The sequence below is a fragment of the Homo sapiens genome, chromosome 11 (genome assembly GCF_000001405.40).
Source record: "Homo sapiens chromosome 11, GRCh38.p14 Primary Assembly".
Lineage (NCBI taxonomy): Eukaryota > Metazoa > Chordata > Mammalia > Primates > Hominidae > Homo > Homo sapiens.
The window spans coordinates 88,169,467-88,178,779 of record NC_000011.10 but is presented as its reverse complement, the minus strand read 5'-3'; the positions used below and the strand labels follow the sequence as shown (position 1 = coordinate 88,178,779).

Genomic DNA, 9,313 nt, shown 5'->3' with positions numbered 1-9,313 from the left:
AACCTAAAAGAGGAGAGAAAACATCACCTCTTTGGCAGTGGTGCTCTTGTGGGGTGACTAGAATCAGCTAGGGTGTCACTCCTACTAGACAATGTCTAGAAGACCCAGAATTCTGATATTTTAGAGTCCAAAGGACTTTCCAGAGATCTTGCAACCTAACTCCCTCATTTTACCCAAGGGACTTTCAGGTTCAGAGACCTAGGCGCCTTTTACGAAGATTTTACTGAACTGCTAGGCTGGGGTGCTTACCAAGCTACTGTAATCTAAAAGTCTTAAAAATATAAACCGAGAGTAATTTCTTCCCACTGTGAAGAATGATCATGAGACCTAAATGAGTACGGCTGGAAACAAAACTGCACATACTTCCTGCCTGGCCAAGGAACTTGCTCACCATGGTTGGCTGCTGTCCCTGAGAGAGGAATCTCCTACCCCCAGAGAGGCAATAAAACTGAAGCTTCAGGACCCCTTCCAAGGCCCTAGACCTAATTATATATTTTTGATTTTGCATTCTTTTGCTCAAAAAGCTACTTCCTCCAATTTTATCAGCTTCAGGACCAGAAATCCTGAACTTTGCCCTGCCTGTCCTACCTCATAAATCCAAATGTCTGATGTTCCAATATGCTCTTGCTCAAAAGAGAACAGATAAGGGTGAGGATGACTCTGCCGGGACCAGGCTTGGGAAAACAGTACGGGGCTGGTAAGAAAGTTGGGTTGGGTATAATTTTGAAGGCTGGCCCACAAGATGTCTCAAACTCCTACCTTGTTTCTACCCCAGGAGCTTGTTGGCCAGACAAAGCCTGTCTCTCAGATTTACAGACCCAGGATTTTAGAGCTGGCAAAGGTCTCATTTTGTCATCCTCCCTAATTTTGCAGGCATTTAGAATGGCTTAAGCATCTTGGGCTACTGAATTCCCCTCCCTGGGAAGTGAGGTGACATTGTTGGCTAATTCTTTAAGCAGGTAGAGTATTTGTCTCACTTGTTAGATGTGATCTTCTTGGTGTGTCCTCGCATGGGTGGAAACCAGTAAATGAGGCCTACCCAGCTAAGCACTTCAATAAAACACAAACGACTGCAATTCTACACACTGTCACTTAGTGTCCATTCTGAGCAAAACTTCTGAGTTACTCTCTGAGGAAAGATGAAACTGCACAGGACAGTGCCTGTGGACAGTATTTTAAGCTTGTCCCTCATTTCATAGTAATAGCTACAATTTATTTACCACCTACTATGGACCCAGCATTTTATCAACAATTTCATTTGTATTTATTTATTTATTTATTTATTTATTTATTTAGAGATAGAGTCTTGCTCAGGTTACCCAGGCTGGAGAGCAATGGTGTGATCTTGGCTCACTGCAACCTCTGCATCCCTGGTTCAAGATAGTCTCCTGTCTCAGCCTCTCAAGTAGCTGGGATTATAGTCACCTGCCACCACGCCCGGCTAATTTTTGTATTTTTAGTAGAGACGGGTTTCACCATGTTGGCCAGGCTGGTCTTGAACTCCTGACCTCAAGTGATTCACCCACCTCAGCCTCCCAAAGTGCTTGGATTACAATCATGAGCAACCATGCCCTGCCATAGGTATTATCATTCTCCTTTCGTTGATGTGGAAACCAAGGCTCAGAGGTTATGTGACTTGTCCCGGGTACACATCTTCAGCATCCCTCTGCTTGTTTGGGGCATGTGGAGGCTAAAGTTTAGGGAGTGTCAGGCCAGAAGAGGAAGGCAGAAAGACAATGGCCTTGCCAAACCTCCTTTCTCCCTTTCACACAGGCCTGTGTTTAAGTCCTAGTTCTAACACATACTAGTTATGTGTGCCCTTGAGAAAGCTGCTGTTAATCTTGGTTTCCTTATTTATAAATTGAAGAAAATAACCCACTTCATAAAGCAATTGAGAAGATGAAATGATAGAATGTGAGCAGAGCTCCTTCACAGCACATTCAGGTACAAAATAGCTCATTTTGGTATAAACTGCTCACCCCCTAGCCCTGAATGCCCAATTTCTCATTTTCTTTATGTCTTTACTAAATTGTCTCCATCTTACTGAAACCTTCCCTGGCCACCCTATCTAAAAGGCAAACCCCATATAATCTCTTCACATCCCCTTTCTGCCTTATTTTATTACCAATTAATATATGACAAATTGTATTTATTTTGTCTTGTCCTGTCTCCACCCACAAGAAGGTAAATTTTTCTTAGGCCAGTAGGCATTGTCTGCGTTAGGAGGATGATACAGAAATCCTAACGCAGACAATGCCTACTGGCCTCAAAAAAATTTACCTTCTTGTAGGTGGAGACAGACAAGACAAAATAAGTACAATTTGTCATATATTAATTGGTAATAAAATGTATATTGGTCAAATGAATGAAAACAAACAACAAAAACAACAAAAAGAAGTTGGGAACCTAAAGACCTATGTTTGAATTTGGTTTTTTTCCTTACTATTTGACTCTGGGTCCATTACTTAAAATGTCTGGTCCTTAGCTTCCTCATTTGTAAAATAGGAAGAAAAATGGTATCTATTATTAAGACAGCTGGGATGACTAAATGACATAATTTATAAACCCTCTGGCATATAGCGAGTGCTCAATAAATGTTTGCCATTATTATTATTTGTAATAATCTGACCGATTGTTAAAACTGTCTTTCTGTGCAGCTCTGAGTTTTTAGGATATGGGAAGAGGCTAAAAGTCACCAGTGCCCTTGGCATTTTCGGCCCAGTTGTCCTCCTTGTTAACTGATTACCAGTTGAATGGGTGTGAAAGTGCTCAGTGTTCCCACCTCCAAGCTGCTCAGAGGTCAGCATTGCCATTCATTGAGAAATAACAGGCTGTGAGAGCTCAAATGACTTACTTATGGTCCCTCAACTTAAAAACCAGGGCACGCAGGAACCAAGCCCAGCCAGTCTTGGGCTTCCTAATACTGTAATTTCTCTCTACAGTGTGGGGTAGTTAAGAGCCTGTGACTTCAGACCTGTGGTCAACGGGGCCTTTCACCGGCCATCTCCCGCAGAGTACTTTTTCACAATCAGTTTTCTCGCAAGCAAAACGTGGAAAATAAGATCCACACCTCACAAGTTTGTGGCCAGGGTCACAGGTGAAAACAGCTCTTCGGAAACTCTAAAGCGCCGGATAAATAAGCGCTGCAACAGGCAACCACACGCGAACCCCTTTCAGCTGCCAGTCCCGGGACTCGCTCCTGTCTCCTCCCCTCTCCAAGACCGCGGAGTAGGAAGGAGGATTAACCCCTAGGGGAGGAGTTCCGCCCCCCAGCCCCCGCCCCGCCGCCCACGCCTCTCTCTGCACCTACACTTGCGCTCCCCAAGTCTCTCTCGTGCGCAGAGCCCAGGCTGCGCTTCCCTGGTCAGGCACGGCACGTCTGGCCGGCCGCCAGGATGCAGGCCCCGCACAAGGAGCACCTGTACAAGTTGCTGGTGATTGGCGACCTGGGCGTGGGGAAGACCAGTATCATCAAGCGCTACGTGCACCAGAACTTCTCTTCGCACTACCGGGCCACAATCGGCGTGGACTTCGCGCTCAAGGTGCTCCACTGGGACCCGGAGACTGTGGTGCGCCTGCAGCTCTGGGATATCGCAGGTGAGCGCGGGGGGAGGGGGTCAGGGGGATAGAGCGCCTCGCGGCCGGTTTCCAGTCTCGAGGCAGCGGCTTGCGGCCAAGCGTGAGATTAAAATCACTAGGTCGCGAGGCAGTTTTTCCTGGTGGGCTGGAAACTTAGTTTCAAAGAAAAGAAAAACGTCTGAAACTTCAAGTGCATTCCCTGGCGCTTTTGGGCTATTGCTTTAGCTCCTTCCCGCACAGTCCCCTGGGATCTCTCTGCCCAGAGCAGGCCTCCCCAGGGAACCAGAGGAAGATTGTCTGCAATTGCATTCTGTTCTCCACTCCAGCTCGTTTTCTGGGCGCGGGCAGTTCTGCCAATGACGCAGCCCAGTGTCACGCACGTCCTTCCGTGCAGGGGCGGACCGAGGGGAAGCCCCTAGGCTGGTTCACAGAGGAAACCGGGATAGTTCCAGGCTAGCTGGAGTTTGCCCATTCCTGTCTTCAGTGGCTCACTTTATTTCAAATTTTGTCACCTTTCTCTCTGCCCTTAAGACAAAGGAGTTTGAGGGTTTTTGTTTTGTTTTTTTTTTTTTTTTTTTTTGCTTTTTGCTTACAGTAAGCCAAGTACTTTTGTGTGTATATGTCAGGGGCAAAGTATTCTTTCTCCCTCTCTTTCTGTATTTCTATCTCTCTGGCTCTCTGTCTTCTATGAAAAGGAGGTTGTGTGTATATTTTAAGGCCATTTTTATGTAAGGGCCTATGATAGCCTTATGATTTCTTGATTTGGCCCTAAAGTTTTCATTGAGAGATCTGAAAAATGAGAGGTTGTTTGTTTTTGTTTTTTACAATATTTAAAATCAGATTTTGACTCCACAGGTTTGTACCAGAAGTTAGGCCTAGTCAAAAGTGAGGGTGCAATGTATCTACTCCAAGTGTGAATCCTTGGACAAGGCTGTTTGCAACCTGCGCATGACCAACCCCTCATTACAGATTTTAGCCCTGCCACTAACTAACCTGCTCAGTGGCTTTGGACAAGTCTCTTCAGCTCAGTTGCATCGCTGTTAAGTGGAAAGGAGTTGGGCAAGGGTCAAGGATCTTCCTGCTCAGAAGTTTTAAAGTCCTCTGGGATTCTCCATGGGAACAACTTCAAACAGTCTTATTTCATGGTCTGTGACACCAGGAACCTTTCGTTATAAGTGCTGGACCCAAACTAGCCACTTCTGTTTCAGAAAATGGATTCATTTTAGCTGATGCATTTGATTGGAAACTCTTTATCATGGCTTGAAACTAGAACAAATGTGGAAAATTTTTGAAAGGGCATTTGTGATCTGGGGACTTTCGTGCCTCTTTAATCATGAACTGCCAGGCCTTTTTCTTTTAGCATGTGAACAGATGAACAGATTCATGCATTTGGAGTCATCTTCAGCTGCTCTAGTAGCAAGGGGGTTATCAGAGAACAGAAAATGTTATCAGCCACTGTTGGATGGGGCTTTTCATCTAAAAAAATTCTCTCTGTGTACTTTCTTGCTGCATGTCATAATGTCTGAAAACCCTTCTGGCTGCTCGAAAGTCCTCAGGATTCAGATTTAGAAACGGCTTACTGTTTAAACGGGGATGTAGCTGTAATTTGGACTTCTGTGTACAATCCAGGTAACAGCATGACAGCAGAGAAGTTCTATGTCTGTAGATTTCAGTCTCCTCACATAAACAGAAGAGATGGAAGGGTACAGTGATTAATAGCCCAAATTCCAGAGTTGAACTGCCTCCATCTGGATCCTTACTTTACTCTGCATGTAGTAGGCAATCTTAGGTAAGTTCTCTAACCTCCTTGTTTTGGTTTCCTTACTTGTAAACAGGGAGAATGCTTTCTCCCAATAGATGACAGGTGAGCAACCAACAGTGCTAGCTGAAGGTGATCATGCCTGTTCTCTAGGAGATCTGCAAGGATTATTATCACACTAGCTACCATTTTTTTAAGCCTATATAAATGCTAGGCAAGAAGGATATGATATACAAGTGCTTATTAATTCCTAATAAATTGTGATCCCAATATTACATATATATTTTGTCCCCAAGTTATCACCATTTTCAGCTTTGCTCCTGACATACTCTCAGGAGCAATTTAACTCCCAAGCTCGAAAGCACTTCGTTAGCCATGTTTTGTAGACTGAAGTTGCAGTGGAGGCTGTAGTCACAGAAGTCTGTATAAATAAGAAATCTGAAGTCTTGGGAAGTTCATTCTACAGATACTGCGGTGGTGTTACATTCAACATCTCAGTAGAGGAGCTTGTTTTTCCCAGAGCTCTAATGCTCAGTGGTAACCTGTCTTTAGCAGCCTTAAGCCCAAAGGCCCTGTTAGCTGAATTATAGATTGGACAGCAGGCACAGTGAATTGGGTGAAAGCTAGGCCACTGTAGGAAATGGTTGGAACATGCACGTGCTCCATGTTTCATGGTTTAAGCTGCATAGGGAGCCATGTGGGTTATGAGTTCATGTGAAATACAACCTCAACTGCCCACCCAGACTCCAGTCAGCCAGGTGTACCTTATAGTACTTTCAAATCACAGCCTGTCTGTCCACAGATAAGAATGCATCTCTCCGTCCTTAGTGTTCAACTCTGGTGTGTCCCCGGAGAGAGCAGGTAGTGGAGGTTAGTGGGCCTAGCTTTGAGAAGGTTGTGGGTGTTCAATGAGATAGAGAAGACCTGCACTGTTCTGATAGGATATCATATACATTTGTTATTAAGGGAATCTTGGCTCAGCTAGACTCTTGATACTCATTTGGTTCAATGCCAAATAGGGCCCTTTTTAATCTACTAAATTCCCATGATGTGTCTCTTATAGCCATGTAGATTGGCCAGTCTGATCTTGAAAGACTCCAAAAAGTATCTCTGGGGTCTTGTGAAGTAGGCCTTGAAACAAGATGATAAATCCCACCAAACCCCATAGGGGACAGCAGTTGGCCTGGATTCCAGTGATTCCATGCTAGAAGGTCAGCTGTGTGTTCAGAGGCTCCTGATAGAGTCAAAGAAATGAAGTAACTTTGCCTGAGGCCACCCAGCTAGTAGAGGAAGAGCCAGATTTGACCCGGTTCCGTTTCACTCAGAGTCAAGCCTTGCTGTTTGCACTTGCTGGCCTGTGAGTGCCTGGCACACAGCTGGCCCACAGGGATTATGCCTTCTTTTTAAAGGTGTTGTTTCATTAGTAGGTGGGTTAAACTTACCTTCTCCTTTCTAACTGGATTTTTGGTATTATTAAGTACCACTGTGCATTCAGTGAAAAGGAATGAATTAAAATCTATTTCTGAAAATTTTATCTTGATTAGGATGTGAATTTATAGAGTTTTTAAAAAAATAGGTCATTTAGGGAAAATGAAAACAAAAAGTTCACACTTGAGACTCCACTTTTTTATTACTCTCCAAATCCAGAGACTATAATTGCTCATTCACCCTTTCAAAAAGAACTGTACTATCTTGTCTAGAACTCTTGATGTGCTTTGGGACTCTGATCTAGGCATTGGGACATTTATAGGGATAGTAGCTAATATTTCTTAAGCCCTTATTCTTATGAATGTCCAGGCATATTTAATCTATAATTTCCCAGTATAATAGCTGGTTAGGCCACTAGAATTTAAAATTGACCATTGAATCTGTTTTCAAAAGATTTGCTCTACTGTCCTTAATTTGAAAACAGAGCACTTCAGACATAGTTTAAATATATTCTAAATTTAGATACTCTGAAAATATAATTAGGCAAACTGTGAAACCTTGCTGAACCTCAATTGCCTCATCTATAAAATGATGATTATTTAATTTTCCTGTGATACTTATTTTATCTTTTGTAGTCTCTGTAAGCAAAAGGTTTATTATCACTGTCCTCAGGGTATAGGTAGCACATGGTCATTTATTCCAGCTTCTTTACTTACTAGCTTTGTGACTTGTGTGAGTTACTTAGCCTCTGTGCCTTCGTTTTCTGTCTGTAAAATGGGAATAATAACAATACCTGCATCTTAGTATTTTTGTAAGAATTAAATGAGTTAATTTATGCAAAGCTGTGCCTGACACATAATAAATGCTGAATGAGTGTTAGCTATTATTCCTGTTGTCATAATTGTTATTATTACAGACTGTTTTCACATACATTTTCCCACTTGATCTCCCCAGCATTGCTGAGGGTGTAGACAAGCAGATAGTCCTAAACCCAATTTTATTTAAAAAGATAAAAAATGAGAGAGGTAAGAGAGTTGCCTGAGATCATAAGTGGCAGAGGAGAATAGGAACAGTCGGTCTGTTTAGCTTCAGCTTACTTGTATGAGTGAGATAACCAAGTCTGTTGGTAATAAAAAAACCCAATCCAGTTTTATATTGCTATAGTGGAAAATAAATTAAGTTGGCAGACAATTTAGAGAGTGTTTCGAGTGTTTCTTTGCTATGTAAAAGTTTGACTGCAGAGCTCTGCTAAATAACAAATGCCTCTAAATACTTAAAATAAGATCTACCCTATAAGAAAAATATTTCCACTCAAGGCACATCTATACCAGCTTCCCCCACCTAAGCCATGTGACATGACAGCAGAAGAATACATTAACTGTCCCATAGACAAAGTAACAGGATGAAGGCAGCCCAGGCCCAGTGTCAGGAGTCCTTAAACTGACTCTTCACACCAGCAACTCTGACACTTATTTGGGTCACATTGTTATGTTGTTTTAGAGTTTGTGAAGTTCTTTCAGGTTGTGAAATTCAACCAAAGATAGGATTCGGACTTAACTATCTCTTTAGTACCGATTTCTGAAAGACTATTTCTTCAAGCAGTTGTAGAAGATGGGTCTTAAATGTCAAAGTAGTAGGTCTAGGAATGTAGAAAGAGCTAAATTTGGCGATGAGTGTGTCAAATAAAACCCCCCAAAATGCATATCGAGTCTGAGCCATGCTCCACTGGGCAGTTTATTGCCTTGTTTCTAGCTTAGCTAATTACAGATTTTCTAAATGCCACGTAAAATAACATGCTATGTTCTTACGGGTAAATAATGTGTACAGTGAGCAAAAATGGTGAACTTTCAAAGTAGGAATGAGGGATATATGGAGAAAACGCCTCAAGGCAGGACATGTCGTGTCATCTGGGTTTTAGAGGACTGATTCTGATAGAAAAGCAAGTAGCAGCTTGACCAAGGAAAGCTAAGGCATTTGAGAGTGGGAGGGGATTGGAAAAAGTAGCTCTATATGTGTGATTGGTTTCTTCAGCAAATATATGTATGTATATATAAAGTGCCTGGTATGTGAAAGTACTTAGGTGAGGGAAAAACAAAGAAGGATAATAATTGAATAAGATTTACTTCTTCATCCCAGCTTCATCAGCATGATGACACAAAAACAAATCACTGTAACAATAAGTAAAGAGCATTGATAGACATAACTTCAGAACACTCTCATGGTGCAGAGATGTTGTCCACACCTCGTTCTCCTACTCTCTGAGACTAAATCTGAGGAAGTTGACAAAACCTCAAGGCTAGTGTGATGTTTCTTGTGCTCTTACCTAGCACCAGTCATTCCCTGTGAGTGCGTCAGGGCTGCACAACTTGAGACAGAATTTCATCATCTGGCCCTCTAATTCAGTCTCCTTTGCTTGAGGATCTCATGCATTCCCAGGGCTTTAACTCTATGCAGATGACTTTAAAACTATGCCTATATCCTTGACTACTCATGAGCTCAGGCTTACAATTCCATCTTCCTGCTGAACATCTCCTCTACAATATCTCA

The 9,313-nt window shown here is 42.6% G+C and overlaps 1 protein-coding gene and 1 non-coding gene across 4 annotated transcripts in view; one reads left to right on the top strand and one right to left on the bottom strand.

Moving 5' to 3' along the window:
• Positions 1-2,186: 2,186 nt before the first annotated feature.
• Positions 2,187-2,278, bottom strand: MIR3166 (microRNA 3166). Its single transcript, NR_036124.1, has one exon. It is a non-coding gene; the product is annotated as a microRNA 3166 (primary transcript).
• A 1,058-nt stretch (positions 2,279-3,336) lies between these two features.
• The window catches only part of RAB38 (RAB38, member RAS oncogene family), a 371,729-nt gene continuing 365,752 nt past the window's right edge, over positions 3,337-9,313 (top strand). For all 3 annotated transcript variants that reach the window (XM_017017456.3, XM_017017455.3, NM_022337.3), the window contains exon 1: positions 3,337-3,597. In XM_017017456.3, the coding sequence (XP_016872945.1) occupies positions 3,396-3,597 (202 nt within the window). In that variant the 5' untranslated portion in view covers positions 3,337-3,395. The remainder of the gene's footprint in view (positions 3,598-9,313) is intronic.